Below are 21,006 nucleotides of genomic sequence, written 5' to 3'. Positions count from 1 at the left end.
ATCATTAGCTTCAAATGGTAGGTTTTTTTTAGACACTTGCCTTGTTACAGGTTTAAAGTAGAGCGTACTGATCTTATTTGCTTCTAATGGAGACCTCTCGACTCTGACTTCTTCAAGCCTCCACGTATTCCCAAATTTGAATCAAAGTGTTCTGGTCAATTGTGTAATTCACAATCACTCCACATTATCTGTACAACTAGTTTTAGAAAAGAATTTGCTCAATAATAAACATCTCTCACATTGATTTTTGAAACATTTAATTTATTATAAATGAGCCCGGAATCTTTCCATAGACAGAAAGAGTGTTACAAAACAAAATCATATAAATGTTTTTATTTCTGTGCCGTGAAAAGCAAAGTTCCATAAAGACACTAACATACCAGATGGAGAACAGCATTGGTAGGAAATATATTGTAAAATAAAATTCTTCTCCCTGTCCATGTAAGTCTGAGATAATATTTAAAATTCTCTAGAAGAAAAAACCCACTCTCTAGAGTTTCTTCAATGTATGTGTTTTTTTATGGGTTCTATATATGGTGTATTTATCTAAATTAATCTTTTATTCCATATTTAGCTTTAAGTGCAAAATACTTTTCATTAATTATCTTCCTTTAATTTTCTTTACCCAATTTCCAAAAATGATGGATACAGTATTCTTTTTGCAAAAGAAATTGTGATGATCAAGGAGTTGTTTATTTTCTGAAACATCACATTAAAATTTTTTGCTGTCTGGTTTTCAATTTATTAACTTGATTAACATTTAAAATTGAGAACTCTTAAGTGGTATATAAAAAATATACGCTTTTCAAAGACTTGAAACCAACCCAAATGCCTGTGAATAATAGAGTGGATAAAGAAAATGTGGCACATATATACCATGGAATACTATGCACTTATAAAAAAGGATGAGTTCATGTCCTTTGCAGGGACATGGATGAAGCTGGAAACCATCATTCTCAGCAAACTATCACAAGAACAGAAAACCAAACAATGAATGTTCTTACTCATAAGTAGGGGTTGAACAATAAGAATACATGGACACAGGGAGGGGAACAACACACACTGGGGCCTGTCGGGGGTTTGGGGGCTAAGGGTGGGATAGCATTAGGAGAACAACCTAATGTAGATGACGGGCTGATGGGTGCAGCAAACCATCATGGCACGTGGATACCTGTGTAACAAACCTGCACATTCTGTACATGTATCCAAAAATTTAAAGCATAATAATAAAAAAAGAAATAAATAATAAATATTACATGTATGTGTAAATATAGGCTTTTTCTCTCTGCTCTAAAAGTAAACCCACTAGTACTCTACAATTCATGTAGAAATGCATAGATACACACAAACACACACTCAGTGCACAAATATAAACTTTATTGTTAGCAGGATCTCTAGTAAGGGATTAACAGAGATTACAGATAAAAATCAGCCTGAAAGTTAAGAAAAATGAGTGTAAAACGATCAGATTCATAGGTTCTGAAATCTTATTTTTAAAATTAGTTTCTGCATAGACTCTTCATTATAAATTTCTGTCAGGCAGATAGAGGTTTCTCCCCACTTTATTCCTCATGTGTAATAAATTCTGGTAGGAAAAGTGGCAATCAGGTGAAGCTGATTTAATTATTGATTCTGTTTCATGCTCATATGACCCTAGCAGAGTAAGAGGTATTTTACTCTTTTTCAGAAAGGAACCAAGAAGAGTACAATGCTATTTTTTATTTTACCAGGAATCAGGATAAAGTGAGAAGTGGAGCAAGAATCACTAATGGAAAGTCAATAATTGTCACTGATACACACAACAGCTTTTTGTGACAGAAAGAATGCCTATAGCTAACGACACCCAGTTCCATACTTCTTCATTCCTACTGCTGGGTATCCCAGGGCTAGAAGATGTGCACATCTGGATTGGATTCCCTTTTTTCTCTGTGTATCTTATTGCACTCCTGGGAAATGCTGCTATCTTCTTTGTGATCCAAACTGAGCAGAGTCTCCATGAGCCCATGTACTACTGCCTGGCCATGTTGGATTCCATTGACCTGAGCTTGTCTACGGCCACCATTCCCAAAATGCTGGGCATCTTCTGGTTCAATATCAAGGAAATATCTTTTGGAGGCTACCTTTCTCAGATGTTCTTCATCCATTTCTTCACTGTCATGGAGAGCATCGTATTGGTGGCCATGGCCTTTGACCGCTACATTGCCATTTGCAAACCTCTTTGGTACACCATGATCCTCACCAGCAAAATCATCAGCCTCATTGCAGGCATTGCTGTCCTGAGGAGCTTGTACATGGTCATTCCACTGGTGTTTCTCCTCTTAAGGTTGCCCTTCTGTGGACATCGTATCATCCCTCATACTTACTGTGAGCACATGGGCATTGCCCGTCTGGCCTGTGCCAGCATCAAAGTCAACATTATGTTTGGTCTTGGCAGTATTTCTCTCTTGTTATTGGATGTGCTCCTTATTATTCTCTCCCATATCAGGATCCTCTATGCTGTCTTCTGCCTGCCCTCCTGGGAAGCTCGACTCAAAGCTCTCAACACCTGTGGCTCTCACATTGGTGTTATCTTAGCCTTTTCTACACCAGCATTTTTCTCTTTCTTTACACACTGCTTTGGCCATGATATTCCCCAATATATCCACATTTTCTTGGCTAATCTATATGTGGTTGTTCCTCCCACCCTCAATCCTGTAATCTATGGGGTCAGAACCAAACATATTAGGGAGACAGTGCTGAGGATTTTCTTCAAGACAGATCACTAACCAGTTGGAGTTTGGAGGGTCTCTCTTAGCATTCATGATGAAGCAGCCACTAGGGAGGAGAGAAGAGACACCAAGGAATTTGGGTACAGAGAAAGTGAGATACCCTGAATAAAATTTAAAATAATTATGAGTGTATTGGTAGATAAATATTATTTCACAGTCACCTTCAGTGAAATGTCCCAACCACAAAATATATCCATTTGTTTGTTTTCATGTTTTTGCTGGGTTTGCTTTGTCTTTTTGTTTCTGGATAAATAGTTGTAATCTTTTAGAAAATGTGGTGTGTATATGTGTTTATGTTCATATGTTCATAGAGAGGAACTGGTAGAAGGCAATTAAATTGACCAGTATGGATTGAATCCTTGCCTGTATTAATTGTTTGAACCAGCACTTTCTATTGATAGGCAAGACTTTTTCTCCTGATGCTCTGTTCTTCCAGAAAGTCTCCTTATCCAGTTTGAGAGAGAAAGGCACATAACATATATTAATGCAGAGTGATAAATCAAAGGACAGACTTATGAATCAGGTAGGGTGTGGTACACATGGTTTATTTGTGGGATAGTGGAGATTTTCTTGTATTATGACCTTTCTAATGTAATTAGGAGAAAAATAAGTTAGTAACTGACATTTCCTCCTCAGTACTGATTTGAATGAACACCAGTCATTTTTCTATGTTGAGCTTTGTTTTTGTTCAAATTAAAATGTAACCTAATTTCTGTTTGGGCATTCATTTTAAGCCATTGATTATTTTCTATTATGTATTTAATCCGCAGATAAATAAGTTAGTGGGGTTAGATTTTATTTTGAATTTCAAGTGATATATAGGCTTATAATTTGGGGCACGTGTGTGTGTGTGTGCATGTGTGTGTATGTGACTTTAAAAAATGGACATTTAACAATAATTCAGATGTATTTAAAAGCAATATACATTCTCCAATTATTTTTTAAATGCACATTCTCTTTACTTTTACTTACTTTTGCGTTCTCAAACAGCTTGTTTTTATAAGAGTTGCATTAAAGTCTCTACAAATTTTGATATACCAATTATATTTTTAATTTCAGTGACCATTGTTGCAATTATTTTGAAGTTATATTTTGAGATGGAGAAATATTCTTGACTCTTATGTATTTTTTCTCTGTTATAATTGGTACTTTGAATTCTATCATTTCATAACATGTCTAATGTGTGTCAACTTTTTATGCATAAAATTTGTTCAGCATATTTATTTAATAGTTTGTGGACACATACTAGTTGTACATATATATGGGGTATTGTGAAATTTTGACACAAGGATACAATGTGTAATGATTATATTAGAAAAATTGGTGTATCTGTCACCTCAAGAATTTATAATTTTTTTGTGTTAGGAAAATTCTACTTCTACTCTGCTAGTTATTTTGAAATATATAATACAGTATTGTTAACTATAGTCACTCAATTATGCTACTGAATGCTAGATCTTATTCCTTGTAACTGTATTTTTGTACCTATTAACCAATCCCTCTATCCTGCCCTCCTCACTACCCTTTACAGCCTGTGGTAACCATCATTCTACTCTGTCTCCATGAGATCAATTTTTTTTAAGCTCCACATAAGAGTGAGGACGTGTGATATTTGCGTGATTTATTTCACTTAACATAATGTCATCCAGTTCCATCCACGTTGTTTGTTCGTTCCTTTCTTTCTTTCTTTTTCTTTTCTTTTCTTTTTTTTTTTTTTTGAGACCTCCCTCTGTTGCCCAGGCTGGAGTGCAGCTGTGTGATCTTGGCTCACTATAACCTTTGCCTCCGCCTCCTAGATTCAAGCGATTCTCCCACCTCAACCTCCCCAGTAGCTGGGATTACAGGCGCCCGCCAACAAGCCCAGCTAATTTTTCTATTTTTAGTAGAGACAGGATTTTGCCATGTTGGCCCGGCTGGTCTCAAACTCCTGACCTCAGTTGATCCGCCTGCCTAGGCCTCCCAAAGTGTTGGCGTGAGCCACGGCACCTGGCCCATGTTGTTTGAAATAACAGGATGTCATCCTTTTTCATCCTTTTTCATGACTGAATAATAATCCATTGTGTATAGGTATACATTTCTTCATATATTTCCCAGATATATGACGTGAATATTATAAGATCTAAAGGCCTGTGCAGCATGGCTATGACTTTCCTAGTGCCTGAAAATGCCATCCAGGAGAGATAGATAGATAGATAGATAGATAGATAGATAGATAGATAGATCGATAGATAGATAAAATCATTGAGATTAAGGATAATGTTGAAACCCAATCCAAGGAAGCTAAGAATCACAATAAAATGATACAGAAGCTGACAGATGAAATAGACAGTATAAAAAAGAATGTAACTGATCTGATGGAGCTAAAAAACACACTGCAAAAACTTCAGAATGCAGTCACAAGTATTAACAGCAGAATAGACCAAGATGGGGAAAGAATCTCAGAGCTTGAAGACTGGATCTCTGAAATAAGACAGTCAGACCAACGTAAAGAAAAAAGAGTAAAAAGGAATAAACAAAACCCTCAAGAAATAAGGAATTACATAAAGAGGCCAAAACTATGAGTCACTGGCAACTGGCATCCCTGAAAGACACTGGGAGAAAAGCAAACAACTTTGAAAACATATTTTATGGTATCATCCATGAAAATTTCAGCAACCTTGCTAGAGAAGACAACATTCAAAGTTAGGAAATGCAGAGAACCCCTGCAAGGTACTACATAAGAAGATCGTCCCCAAGTCACATAATCATCGGGTTTCCCAAGGTTTTAGTAAAAGAAAGAATGTTAAAGGCAGCTAGAGAGAAAGGGCAGGTCACCTACAAAGGAAACCCCATCAAGCTAACAAAATACCTTTCAGCAGAAACCTTAGAAGCCAGAAAAGATTGAAAGTCTACGTCGACATTCTTAAAGACAAAAATCTCCAACCAAGAATTTCATACCCAGCCAAAGTAAACTTTATAAGTGAAGAAGAAATAAGATTATTTTTAGATAAGCAAATCCTGAGAGAATTTAAAACCCCCAGATTTGCCATACAAGAGCTCCTGAAAGGAGTGCTAAATATGGAAACACTCTTACCATCTAATTCAAAAATGCACTTAAGTACATAGACCAGTGACACTATAAAGCAACCACATAAAAAAGTCTGCATAATAACCAGCTAACAACACAGTGACAGAATCTAATCCATACATATCATACTAACTTTTAATGTAAATGGGCTAAAAGCCCCAATTAAAAGGCAGAGTGTCAAGCTGGATAAAGAAGCAAGAGCCAAAGCTATGCTGTCTTTAAGAGATTCATCTCACATGAAATGACACTCAGGCTCAATAAATAAATAAAAGGGGAATGGAGAAAAATCAACCAAGCAAATGAAAATTTAATAGAAGCAGGGATTGCAATCCTATTTTCAGACCAAAAGATAAAAAAAGACAAAGACAGGCATTACATAATGGTAAAGGTTAAATTGAACAAGAAGATCTAACCTAAATATATATTCACCCAAATAAACACAATTAGAAATGGCAAAGGAAATATTACTACTGACCCCATAGAAATATGAATAGCCATCAAAGACTATTATGAATACCTCTATGCTCAGAAACTAGAAAATCTGTAAGAAATGGATAAATTTCTGGCCACATACACCCTTCCAAGTCTGAACCACAAAGAAATTGAATCCTGAACAAAATGATAGTAAGTTCCAAAATTGAATCAGTAATAAATAGCCTACCAAAAAAAATGCTCAGGACCAGATGGATTCACTGTTGAATTTTACTAGATGTACAAAGAAGAGCTGGTACCATTCTTACTGAAACTATTGCAAAATATTGAGGAGGGAGTCCTTCCCAACTCATCTATGAGGCCAGCATCATCCTGATACCGGAACTTGGCAGAGACACAACAAAAAAAGAAAACTTCAGGTCAATATCCCTGATGAACATAGATCCCAAAATTTTCAATAAAATACTGGCAAATCGAACCCAGCAGCACATGAAAAAGCTAACACATTATGATCAAGTAGGCTTTATCACTGGGATGCAAAGTTTGTTTAACATCCACAATCAATAAATGCGATTCATTAGACAAACAAAACTAAAGACAAAAACTACATGATTATTTCAATAGATGCAGGAAAAGTGCTTGATAACATATAACATGCTTTCATGGTAAAAACCCTTAATAAATTAAGTATTGAAAAAACATACTTCAAAATAATATGAGCCATCTATGACAAATCCACAGCCAACATTATGCTGAATGGGTAAAAGCTAGAAGCATTCCCCCTTGAAAACCAGCACAAGACAAGGATGCCTTCTCTCACCACTCCTATTCAACATAGTATTGAAAGTCCTGGCCAGAGAAATCAGGCAAGAGAAATAAATAAAAGGCATCCAGATAGGAAAAGAGGAAGACAAACTACCCCTGCTGGCAGAGGACATGATTCTATTTCTAGAAAACCCCACAGTCTCAGCCCAAAAGCTCCTTCAGCTGATAAACAACTTTAGCATAGTTTCACAACATGAAATCAATATACAAAAATTACTAGCACTCATATACACCAACAGCATCCAAGCCAAGAGCCAAATAAGAAATGTAATCTCATTCACAATTGTCATAAAAAGAATAAAATACCTAGCAATACAGCTAGGCAAGAAGGGAAAAGATCCCTACAATGAAACTTACAAACACAGCTCAAAGAAATCAGAGATGATACAAACAAATGGAAAAACATTCCATGTTCATGGATAGAAAAAAAGAGAATCTGTGAATACTGCCACAATAAACATATGCATGCATGTGTCTTTATAGTAGCATGATTTATAATCCTTTGGGTATATACCTAGTAATGGGATCGCTGGGTCAAATGGTATTTCTAGTTCTAGATCCTTGAGGAATCGTCACACTGTCTTCCACAATGCTTGAACTAATTTATACTCCCACCATGCACAATAGCATAGACTTGGAACCAACCCAAATCCCAAATGTCCATCAATGATAGACTGGATTAAGAAAATGTGGCACATATACACCATGGAATACTATGCAGCCATAAAAAGGGATGAGTTCATGTCCTTTGTAGGGACATGGATGAAGCTGGAAACCATCATTCTCAGCAAACTATCACAAGGACAGAAAACCAAACACCGCATGTTCTCACTCATAGGTGGGAATTGAACAATGAGAACACATGGACACAGGGAGGGGAACATCACACACTGGGGCCAGTCGTGGCATGGGGGGCTGGGGGAGGGATAGCATTAGGAGAAATACCTCATGTAAATGATGAGTTGGTGGGTGCAGCAACCAACATGACACATGTATACCTACCTATGTAACAAACCTGCACATTGTGCACATGTGCCCTAGAACTTAAAGTATAATTTAAAAAAAGATGGGGGGGTAAGGTCAAAAAAAAAAAAGAGAATCTGGGGAACAAAAGTCAGTGATAAAGACTTTATAAACTCCTCTGGGCTTATGTTGTTTTTTTTCAAAATTAGTGGAGATATTATCTTTTTAAAAATAGTTAAAATGTAGTTAAAGAATTGAAAACAATGTATTGGTTATCTTTTATTGTATAACAATCACCGCAGAATTAATCAATTTAAAACAAGAGATGTTATCATCTCACACATTTTCTGAGAGTCAGGAATCCAGTAAAGGTTTAACTAGGGAGGTGTAGCTCAGGTTTTCTTGAGAAGTTACAACTAGTTGTTGGACCTGCCTGAAGTGTCTGAAGACTTGATCAGGGCCGGGGGGTGTTCCTCAAAGCTCATTCAGATGGCTCTTGGGAGGAAGCTTCACTTCATTATCTGGTGAGCCTCTCATTAGATCTGGACATAACACAGCTTCTCCAAAAGTGAGTGAACCACAGTGGGGCTGGAGGAAAGAGGGAAGAAAGAGAGAAAGAGAGAGGTGAAATATAGAGTATCTACTATAATCTAATCTCAGAAGTGACATACCAACAGTTAGTTTAATTTTCTTTTGCTCCAGGTTTATTGAGGTATGATTGACAAATGAAAATTGCATATATTTAATATGTACAATGTAATGTTTAATATATGCATATACTGAAAAATGAGAACCACAGTCAAGCTAATTAATATATCCATCACCTCACATATTTACCTTTGAGTGTATGTGTGTGTGTGTGTTTGTGTTTGAAGAGAACATTTAAAACCTACTCTCAGCAGATTTCAAATATACAATACATTATTCTTAACTATAGTTACCATGCTATACATTAGATCTCCAGAATTTATTCATCTATAGCTGAAAGTCTGTACACCCTCAACAACATCTCCCTATTTTCCCCACTGTCCAAGAGGTCCACCTCTTTCTAGTCCCACTCAGAATAATGAGGGGCTTAGCATGGCTGAGTGGCTGGGGAAGGCTGGGAGCAAGGAAGAGAGGCAGCGACACCCAGCAACTAGTGTCCTGTACAGCTCAGGAAACCAGGTGATCATTCACTACACACTCACTTTCCCTCGTGAGAGGAATTGCTTGCCAAAGGGGCTTTCTTGGCATTGAGCTATGCTGCCTTAGAAAAAGGGTATCACTGCTAAAGGGAAAATGTTTCATTTTACTCTCTTCAATGCGCCTACTCTCAGATTTTTTGCTCCAACAATGTGCTAGAACTTTTTCACTGGACTCCCAGACTCACACAAGGATTCTCTTGCTCATGAGTTATTGTCAAAATCAATGCTGGTAGTCAGATGACAATAGAAAACTCTAATTCCATCATCTTGCTGACATCACTCCCCAACACTTCTGCCACGTTTTATTGGTCACACAGAGCAGCCCTGGTATGATTGTAGGAGGGAACTACGTGAGGGTGTGAATGTTGAGAAGAAGGGTGTCTTTAGGGCCATCTTGAGACCTGCTATCATAAACTTCTAAAATAGTTTAAAATAAAAAATAGATTAAAATATTATTTTAAAAGGTGTACAAGGAAACTTCCGAAGGTCATGAATGTGTTCATTAACTTAATTGTGGTGATGCTTTCATGCCTATAAATGTATCTTAAACTTATCAATTTACATTTAATATACAAAGCTTATTGTACATCAATTCCTCAGAAAAGATGACAAAATAATAACAAGAGTGCTCCATTACTTTTATTTGGGAAGGAGGACATCTGAAGAATATCTAGAGGAAAGTGGCAATACCAGATGCCATGCTGCTTCAAATCACACTTACAATTCTTAATCCAACAGCAAACGTATCAAGTGCCAACATTATGTTAGTTGCTATTCTAGACAATAGTGATATAGATATAAGATATAGCCCATATAAACTGACAGTCTGGAACAGGGAAGGAAATACAGAAATAAAACATCTTTCTGGGTTCCCTCGTTTTACTTTTGGCAAGAGAAAATGTGAATCTTACATTTCCCCAGTGCTTAGCAACACTTAATTTGGCTTCTTATTATCTTCAGTATAGAATCCAAAACCTTAGTCTGGCATGCAGATCCTATATGATCTGACTCTATCTTACTTCTTTATCATTCACTAAAACACTATCCACATTCTATATCTTAGTAGCAATGAATTGCTTGCATTTTAAAAATGCATTATGGTCTCTCTCACCACTAGAAATTTTCACATACTGTTCCATCTGATTCAAATGACATGAACCGTCTATTTTCCTTCCTCCTATTATATTTTCATAAAAAACTCTTAAAGAGAGCTATCATTGAGTCCAGCCTGGGCAACATGGCAAAACCCCATCTCTACTAAAAACACAAAAAATTAGACAGACATGGTGGTGCACACTAATAGTCCCAGCTACCAGCTACTCAGGAGGCTGAGGTGAAAGAATCACCTAAGCCTGGGAGGTCAAGGTTTCAGTGAACCACGATCGTGTCACTGCACTCCAGGCTGGGCAACAGAGTGAGACTGTATCACCAAAAAAAAAAAAAAAAAGAGAGAGAGAGAGACATCAACATACAAACTATTCTTTGATTTTCCCCTAATCTTCTGAAATTTTTAGGCAATGATGATTACATAATTAAATATATTCTAAAAATATCTTTCTTGAAAATACACTAAGATAACCAATATATTTGCACTCATTTTTCTTCTTAAATTTTCTATTATAAATTGACAGTTTATAATTGTATAAATTTATGGGGTACAAAGTGACATTTTGATTTACAAATCCATGGTGGAATAATTAAATCAAGATAGTTGACATATCTACCACTTCAAATACTTAACATTTTTGTGGTGAGCAGATTTGAAATTTATGTTCTTAGCAATTTTGAAATGCGCAATGCTCTATTCTTAACTATATTCATCATACGGTGTAAGAGAACTAAAAAAATTTCCTCCTTTCTAATTGAGATTCTGTATGCTTTGACCGTCATCTCCCCACTACCCCCAAGCCCGGCCTCTGTAACCGCCATTCTACTCTCTGCTTCTATGAGTTCTATTGTTTTAGATTCCACATGTAAGTAAGTACATGCGGTATATGTCTTCCTGTGCCTGGCTGATACCACTTAGCATAATGTTATCCAGCTGCATTTGTGTTGTTGCAGATGACAGAATTCTCTTCTTTTTTAAGGCTGAATAGTATTCTATTATGTATGCCTCCCACATTTTCTTTATTAATTCATCTGTTGATGGACACCTATGTTGATTCTGTAAAGTGGCTAACATGAATAGTGCTGCAGTAGACATGGGAGTTCACACATGTCTTTGACAAACTGATTTCAAACCTTTTGGGTAAATACCTATATGTTGGATCACATGGTAAATCTATTTTTAGTTTTTTGAGGAGCCACTATAAAATTTTCCATAAGGGCAGTACTAATTTACCTTTCTACCAACAGTGTACAAAGGTTTACCGCTGCAGGCTCTGTGAGACAGCCAAAAAACTTTGAGTGCCCAAAGTGTGAGGGGAAATGTCTGCCCCCAAACACACATCCTCACTGGGGAAACTGAAGGTCCAGTTCATGGGAGAAGGATTTGACCTTAACTGGAGCTGAAACACATTTAGAGAGCCGAGTGAAATAAAAGGGTAGAGGAAGCAGCCAAAAGAGCCCTGTGGGCACTCTCAGTCCCCAGGAAAGCCATTCCTGACTGCCAGCGGAATTGGGGAAAGACCACAGGGAGAAGGAAACTTTCAGCTTAACTTTGTAATAATTTCAACCAAATGCAAAGTTTCTTGGATAGAATCTGGGGGAGGAGACAAACAGGGATCACAGATATGAGCACAGAAACTGCAGCAGTTTCTGGGAGGCATGAAACCTGAAAGCCCTGCTTCCTTTCTCAGTGGGGAGGCTTGTAGCCTGGGGCAAGCTCTCAGCCCTGCTCGCCGGCTGCCTTGAAATAAACTCGGTGCTGTTAGGGATGAATGGTGGAAGTTGGGCTGGCCTTTCGAGCTGTGTGGGAGCTGGGTGAGGCCTGTCATTGCCACCTTTCTCCCACTTCCCTGGCAACCTGTATGACACAGCAGAGGCAGCTATAATCCCCCTGGGAACATAACTCCACTGGCCTGAGAACCCCCTCTTCCCCTACAGAGGCCAGAGCAAGCCCCGCCTAAGGAGGGGCTTGTATCCTCCCTATACTACCACAGCTAGTATCCTCTCTCCCTGTATATATATCAGCTTGCGTCCTCCCTATACTACCACAGCTGATGTTCTTTTGAAAGTACCACCTCCTGACTGGAGGCCAACCAACAAAAAAACCAGCATACTAAACAAAACTGTAAACAAGGACCCTCACAGAGTCCACTTCACTCCACTGCTACCTCCATTGGAGCAGTTGCTGGTATCCACAGTTGGGAGACCTGAAGATGGATCACATCACAGGACTCTTTGCAGACACTCCCCAGGACCAGCCTGGAGCCCAGTAGCCCTGCTGGGTGGCTACGCAGAAGAGAAATAACAATCTCTGCAGTTTGGCTCTCAAGAAGCCCAATGCCTAGGGAAAGAGGGAGAGTGCCACATGAAAGGAGCACCCCATGAGACAAAAGAATCTAAGGAGCAGCCTTGAGCCCCAGATCTTCCCTCTGACATAATTTACCCAAATGAGAAGGAACCAGAAAAACAATTCCAGTAATATGACAAAACACTGTTTCATAACACCCCAAAAGATCACAATAGCTCACCAGCAATAAATGCAAACCAAGAAATCTAAATTGCCAGAAAAAGAATTCAGAAGGTCAATTATTAAACTACTTAAGGAGGCACCAGAGAAAGGTGAATACCAAGCCGCTCAGCAGAATCTAACTAGTGCCTTATGATCTGAGGTGGGACAGTTTCATCCTGAAACCAACCGCAGCCTCTGCTCCCCTATCCCTGGAAAAATTGTCTTCCACAAAACAAGTCCCTGGTGCCAAAAAGGTTGGAGATCGCTGCGATAAATAACTACTTTTCAAGTTCATCCTGCTTTCTTTTTGCTGGTTAGGTTGGTAATTGTGTTGGGGATGGGGCATGGTGGGTAGAATCTAAAACATGTTGAATTACTTCTTTTAACAAGGCATGCTACTTATCCTCCCTTACCTTTTAAGGTAAGTGGCCTTCCCAATTATGTCTGTGGATGTAATGCTGAACACTTAGGTAATCACTTTTTTGCTACTCTGATGTTTAATTTCTCCTTTCAGTCTCTGGGATGCTTTTTCTTAATTTTTTTTTTTTTTTTTTATAATGGCTTCCAGCTCCGTCCATATCCCTGCAAAGGACATGGTCTCATTACTGTTTTTTTTAATTATTATTATACTTTAAGTTTTAGGGTACATGTGCACAACATGCAGGTTTGTTGCATATGTATACATGTGCAATGTTGGTGTGGTGCACCCATTAACTCGTCATTTAGCATTAGGTATATCTCCTAATGCTATCCCTCCCCACTGCCCCCACCCCACAACAGGCCCCGGTGTGTGATGTTCCCCTTCCTGTGTCCATGTGTTCTCATTGTTCAATTCCCACCTATGAGTGAGAGCATACGGTGTTTGGTTTTTTGTCCTTGCGATAGTTTGCTGAGAATGATGGCTTCCAGCTTCATCCACGTCCCTACAAAGGACATGAAGTCATCATTTTTTATGGCTGCATGGTATTCCATGGTGTAGATATGCCACATTTTCTTAATCCAGTCTATCATTGTTGGACATTTGGCTTGGTTCCAAGTCTTTGCTATTGTGAATAGTGCCGCAATAAACATACGTGTGCATGTGTCTTTATAGCAGCATGATTTATAATCCTTTGGGTATGTACCCAGTAATGGGATGGCTGGGTCAAATGGTATTTCTAGTTCTAGATCCCTGAGGAATTGCCACTAATTTTCCTCTCCACTTTGAACAACTGTGAGCAGATTATTTGTGTAGCTATTCCCCATCCCACTGCAGGGTGCTCTGCTTTATCTGGCTATTTCTCAGGAATTAACAATAAAAAGATTCCTGTCTTTTCCAGGAGAGGCAGCATGTCCTGTTGAGTGCTGTGCTTCTTCCAGGACCTGACACCATGTGTCTATATCATGGGAAATCACCCTACAGCTGCTAAAAATTCTATCATTTGGAATGGCCTTGAATTTCTTTAATAGAACTTCTTTTTGTCTTAATATTGTAGTAGGTCTAAAATATTCCCAGAAAATGATTTTTAAACTTCCTCTGAGAAATGTATGGATTTTAAAATCTATGTTGGTGTCTTACAATCTTTTCTCAGAAATTATTTTATTTTTTTCTTTTAATTCTTCTTATTTAAATTTTTTTTATCTCATAGCATCTTCAGGATTTTGACAACATACATTTATTCTTCTTCATAGAACGTCTTTTTTAGGCTTGAGGTTTATTTTCTAAAACATTCATCACATTCTACAATCAGTGATTACGAATAATTGAATGTTAAATGTGTCTTTAAAGAATTATCATTTAAAATAAAAATTGTACAATATAGCCCTTATTCTCAAATTTCTTAGAATCTACTCCTCTTTCATATTAGCAAAGTCTTCATATTTTTAAATACAGAGTACTCACATTCAGAATTCATGAAGCAGTAAGCAAAACTTGAGTCCAAACAGGTGCTTTCACTACAACACAGCTCCTAATATTGGTGAGACTATCTAGTAAGGGCTAAGATCACAGGCTTGAACACCATAGGGTCCCTGAACTTGACTTTATTTCTTGGCCTTGTTTTCATCTCAAATCTGGAATAGCTGCCCCAAAACTGCAAATGGCTAAATGACCACTAACATCTCTACTGAATTTTTCCTGTAGAGAGGTTAATTCCTGAAACTTTTTCCCCTTCTCTAATTTTATCCAACGAGTAGCTGCTACAGGGTGTTTGAAAAACTCTAGATTGAGTCAAAATTTGTAAAATAGAAACATTTTCATCATGAAAATGACATAGCTATTTTCTGAGTATGACATCTTACACAGCAAAATCAGAAAAGATACCTTGACTTCACATTTTTTAAAAGGACAAAGAGAACAAGTGCTGATGAGACTATGAAGAAAAAAAACTCTGGTACATTGTTGATGAAAGTGTAAACTAATATAGCTATTATGGAAAAAAAAAAGTATGGAGGTTCCTCAAAATATAAAAAATAGAATACCATAAGATCCAGCAATCCCACTTCTGGGATTATATCAAAAGGAAATGAAATTAATATGTCAAAAAGATGTCTACACAACCATATTCATAGTTACATTATTCAAAATATCCAAGAGGTGGAAACAATGCAGGTGTCCATTGACAGGTTAACAGATAAAGAAAATGTGATACATACACACAAATACTATTCATCCTTAAAAATGAAGGAAACCCTGTCATTTTTGACAATGTGAGTGAACTTGGAGGACATTATGCTTAAGTGAAAAAAGGCACAGAAAGACAACTACTGTATAATCTCATTTATACGTGAAATCTAAAAAAGTTCATAATATATTATAAAATGAGTGCTATAAAAATTTACAATATAATCACACTTTTTAAAAAATGTCACATTAAGATCTTTATTCCCTTTGCCTAGTTGGCTCCTTCTCTACTTTCAAGTGGCAATTTGAATGTTCTTTTCTCAATAATGAGTTTTCTACCCACCTTGTCTAAGTTAGAGCCCTTGTGATAGGCTTTCATTACATCTACCACATAGCAGACAATTATCCTGGTATTTGAGACACTTCAGTAAGCAAATCAGGTAAAGATCCCTGTCTTTGTGGTGCTAGGTGCTAATAATCTTTTTTTTTTATTATTTTTCTCCTTTTTTTTTTTTTTGTGAGACAATCTCACTCTGTTGCCTAGGCTGGAGTGCAGTGGCACAGTCTTGGCTCGTTGCAACCTCTGCCTCCCAAGTTCAAGTGATTCTCATGCCTCAGCCTCCCAAGAAGCTAGGTGTATTAGTCGGTTTTCATACTGCTGATAAAAATATACCTGAGACTGGGCAATTTACAAAAGAAAGAGGTTTAATGGACTTACAGTTCCACATGGTTGGGGAGGCCTCACAATCATGGCGGAAGGTGAAAGGCATGTCCAACACGGTGGCAGACAAGAGAAGAGGGCTTGTGCAGGGAAACTCCCATTTTTAAAACCATCAGACCTCCTGAGACTTATTCACTATCATGAGAACAGCACAGAAAGGACCCACCCCCATGGTTCAATTACCTCCCTCCAGGTTCCTCCCATGTAGGAATTGTGGAAGTTACAATTCACGATGAGATTTGAGTGGGGACACAGCCAAGCCATATCATTCTGACCCTGACCCCTCCTAAATCTCATGTCCTCACATTTCAAAACCAGTCATGCCTTCCCAACAGTCCCCCAAAGTCTTAACTCATTTCAGCATTAACTCAAAAGTCCACAGTCCAAAATCTCACCTGAGACAAGGCAAGTCCCTTCCACCTATGAGCCAGTAAAATCAAAACCAAGTTAGTTACTTCCTAGATACAATGCGGGTACCGGCATTGGGTAAATACAGCCATTCCAAATGGGAGAAATTGGCCAAAACAAAGGGGCTACAGGCCCCATGCAATTCCAAAAGCCAGCAGGGCAGTCAAATCTTAAATCTCCAAAATGATCTCCTTTGACTCCTTGCCTCACATCCAGGTCATGCTGATGCAAGAGGTAGATTCACATGGTCTTGGGCAGCTCTGCCCCTGTGGCTTTGCAGGGTGTAGGCCCCCTCCTGGCTGTTTTCATGGGCCAGCATTGAGTGTCTGCAGCTTTTCCCGGTGCACAGTGCAAGCTGTTGGTGGATCTACCATTCTGGGGGATCTGGAGGACTGTGGCCCTCTTCTCACAGCTCCACTAGGCAGTGCCCCAGTAGGGACTCTGTGTGGTGGCTCCAACCCCACATTTCCCTTCCACACTGCCATAGCAGAGCTTCTCCATGAGGACCCCACCCATGCAGCAAATTTCTGCCTGGACATCCAGGCATCCTCTGAAATCTAGATGGAGGTTCCCAAACCTCAGTTCTTGACTTCTGTACACCCACAGTCTCAACACCATGTGGAAACTGCCAAGGCTTGGGGATTCCACCCTCTGAAGAAACAGCCCAAGCCGTACCTTGGCCTCTTTTAGTCATGGGTGGAGCAGCTGGGATACAGACACCAAATCCCTAGACTGCACACAGCAAAGGGACCCTGGGCATGTCCCATGAAACCATTTTTTTCTTCCTAAACCTCCCAGCCTGTGATGGGAAGGGCTGCTTCAAAGGTCTCTGACATGCCCTGGAGACATTTTCCCCATTGTCTTGGTGATTAACATTTGGCTCCTCGTTACTCATGCAAATTTCTGCAGCCAGCTTGAATTTCTCCTCAGAAAATGAGTTTTTCTTTTTTTATCTCATTATCAGGCTGCAAATTTTCTGAACTTTTATGCTCTGTTTCCTTTTTAAAACTGAATGCGTTTAACAGCACCCAAGTCACATCTTGAATTTTTTGCTCCTTAGAAATTTCTTCTGCCAGATACCCTAAATCATCTCTCTGGTTCAAAGTTTTATAAATCTCTAGGGCAGGGGCCAAATGCTGTGTCTCTTTGCTAAAACATAACAAGAGTCACCTTTGCTCCAGTTTCCAACAAGTTTCTCATCTCCATCTGAGAGCCCCACAGCCTGGATTTCACTGTCCATATCATTATCAGCATTTTGGTCAAAGCCATGCAACAAGCCTCTAGGGAGTTCCAAACTTCCCACATTTTTCTGTCTTTTTCTGAGCCCTCCAAACTGTTCCAACCTCTGCCTGTTACCCAGTTCCAAAGTTGCTTCTACATTTTCAGGTATCTTTTCAGCAGCACTCCACTGTTCTGGTACCAGTTCACTGTATTAGTCTGCTTTCATGCTGCTGATAAAGACATACTTGAGACTGGGCAATTTACAAAAGAAAGAGGTTTAATGGACTCACAGCTCCACGTGGCTGGGGAGGCCTCACAATCATGGTGGAAGGTGAAATGCATGTCTCACCTGGTGGCAAACAAGAGAAGAGAGCTTGTGCAGGGAAACTTCCATTTTTACAACCATCAAATCTCCTGAGACATACTCACGATCATGAGAACAGCATGGGAAAGATCCACCCCCATGATTCAAGTACCTCTCACCAGGTTCCTCCCATGACATGTGGGAATTGTGGAAGTTACAATTTAAGATGAGATTTCCAGAGGGACACAGCCAAACCATATCACTGGGATTAGAGGCATGTGCCACCATGCCCAGCTAATTTTTGTATTTTTAGTAGAGACTAAAATACATGTTGGCCAGGCTGGTCTTGAACTCTGGCCTCAAGTGATCCACCCACCTCGGCCTCCCAAAGTGCTGGGATTACAGGCACGAACCAGTGTCCCTGGCCTTGTGGTACTAATAATTTAAAGAGCATGATTGGAGAGGACATCCAATAACAGTTAACATAATAAATATATAAAATTTTATAATGATTTAGAAATGAATGTGCTCTATAAAAATATGAGAGTAAGAAAAACTTGGGAGCACTAGGTACACTTTTAAATATGGTGTTCAAGGTATAAATCTTTGATGTGGTCATCACTGAGCAAGAAATTATGCTTCTGTTCATAGCGGGAAGAAACTCAGAGGTTGCAATATAAAGTATTTAACTCCTCTAATTTGTCTTCGTGGCTTTTGTAGAAGTCATTTGTTAGGATGAGTTAGAAAATGCAGAAATGTTTAGTCTTATGACTATGTACATTTGTGTAATACCATGTGGCACTTTCAGAATTTGATGTTAACAGTGGAGGGTGTCCAGGTTCTTGGCGTCTTGAACAAAGAATTGGACAAAATGCACAAACAAAGCAAGGAAGGCATGAAGGGATTTATTGAAAATGAAGGTACACTCCACAGTGTAGAAGCAGCCTGAGCATAGAGGCTCAAAGGCCCTGTTACAGAGTTTTTGTGAGTTTAAATACCCACTAGTTGGGGTACACTGTATGTAAATGAAGAGGATCAAGTAAAGTTACAAAGTCATTTACTCAGTGTATGCCCTATGGAGAGGGTATTTCCTCTATAGCTGAAGTGTGGATCAGCCTTATGTTCCCTGCCTCCAGACCCTATCTTCCTGCCTCAATGGCAGCCCTTCATATTCTAATAAGCCATTTTCTGAAAAAAAATCTGTCACTTTGTCCAGTGCCGGGCCATCACTGGAGGACTTTATACCATCCCAATCATAAAGTGCATACTACAAATTCTTTAAATTTTTAAATTCCTTGTAGAAATGGTCCAGTGTATTATAGTCATTAAAATTAAAGACACTGGAACCAGACTGCCTGGGTTTAAATTCAAGACCTACCACTCGCTGATTATATGACTTTCATTAACTTATTAACCTCTCTGTGGCTCAGAGAGATTATCTTATCTGTAAGTTTGCTTATCTGTAAACTGGACATAAAATAGTACCATCCTTACAGTTGGTTTTAGGATTAAATGAGAATGCAATACAGTAATACATTTCTGGAAAATAAATGCTATGTACTTTTTGTTGTTATTGTTGTTGCTATTATCTTGAAACTGTGTGTGTGTGTGTATGTGTGTGTGTGTGTTTGTGTGTGTGAGAACAGTTAACACTTTGAAAGTAAGTAAGTATGGAGGAAGACATAAGGGATCTCTACACAGGAATGCCTTGAGTTCTGAAAAGAACCTGGGTTGGTGCATGAAAAAGCAAGTAAAAACTAAGAAAATGAGTTTTAGTGGAAGAAAGAAGAAAGTTGGGGAGGAAAAAACAGAGGGAGACAGGATTTAAGAGGCAGTGGTTATGGCGGAGATGTGAGCAGTCCAGAAGGGTAACGAATGGGGCAACAGCTGCTTAAAGTTGAAGGGTGATTCTAATATACTTAGTATCTCTCAGATGAAGAGCAATGTGGGGCATGCCTGAAGTTGTGACAAGACTCACAAAGCACTTCCTGATAGGACCTCTGTCTACCTTTCTAGTCACATTTTTTACTCCTCACCCTTTCTCTTTTACCTCTGAATATACAAAAACCTTTGTGAACCTAAACTTGCTATTCTTTGTTCAGCCTTAATATTAGAGCTAGGTTGTTTATTTTTTTCCAAATAATTTCCATCTGCTTTTCCTTGTAGGACACTTATACATATAATTCGAGATTGACCCTATATACTATTTTCCCTGTAAAATCTTTACTCACTACCTCCAATAGATATTGATGATCATGCTCTCAGGATTCATGAGTTTTGTGAACATCTGTGATGTACAATTACCTTGTTATCATTTTATAATGATTCCATTGCATTTTATATCCTCTACTAGACAAGGAATTAGCTAGTGTTTTTGTTTTCATTTACATTTCTCAGCGTGGAGTAGGCACATGGAGTCAGGCACATGATTGTACCCAGAAAAACTTGTTGGCTGACATTGATAGTATGTTTGTGAGAACTCAGTGAAAACTTGCCCATGGCTGGGCATAGTGGCTCACACCTGTAATCCCAGCACCTTGGGGTGCCAAGGCAGGCGAATCTCCTGAGCTCAGGAGTTCAAGACCAGCCTGAGCAACATAGTGAAACCCTGTTTCTACCAAAAATACAAAAAAATTAGCTGGGCATGGTGGGGCATGCCTGTGTCACAACTACTCAGGAGGCTGAGGTGGGAGGATCACTTGAGTCCAGAAGGCAGAGGTTGCAGTGAGCCGAGATGATGCCACTGCAGCCTAACCTGAGTGACAGAGTGAGACCCCATCTCAAAAAAAAAAAAGAAAAGAAAGCTTGTCCACACAAAACTGATACTGCACTGTGCACTGCCTGTACAACTGGAAAGATTTATCCTCAAACTATGATTTTCATAATGAATCA

The 21,006-nt window shown here is 38.7% G+C and overlaps 1 protein-coding gene across 1 annotated transcript, besides 1 other annotated feature; it reads left to right on the top strand.

The window, feature by feature from the left end:
- Positions 1-1,823: 1,823 nt before the first annotated feature.
- On the top strand, positions 1,824-2,793 carry OR52E6 (olfactory receptor family 52 subfamily E member 6). Its single transcript, NM_001005167.2, has one exon. It carries the CDS (start codon positions 1,824-1,826, stop codon positions 2,763-2,765), a length of 942 nt encoding a protein of 313 aa, NP_001005167.1. The 3' UTR covers positions 2,766-2,793.
- Positions 17,151-17,720: an enhancer, noted in NCBI's record as "NANOG hESC enhancer chr11:5847231-5847800 (GRCh37/hg19 assembly coordinates)". NCBI's record gives its function as "activates a minimal SCP1, AML or CMV promoter by ChIP-STARR-seq in naive H9 embryonic stem cells {active_cell/tissue: H9 hESC(naive)}" and the evidence as "EXISTENCE:reporter gene assay evidence [ECO:0000049][PMID:30033119]".

Source organism: Homo sapiens, chromosome 11 (genome assembly GCF_000001405.40).
Source record: "Homo sapiens chromosome 11, GRCh38.p14 Primary Assembly".
NCBI lineage: Eukaryota > Metazoa > Chordata > Mammalia > Primates > Hominidae > Homo > Homo sapiens.
Note: the sequence above shows the minus strand (reverse complement) of the source record. Positions and strands in the feature narration are given on the sequence as shown.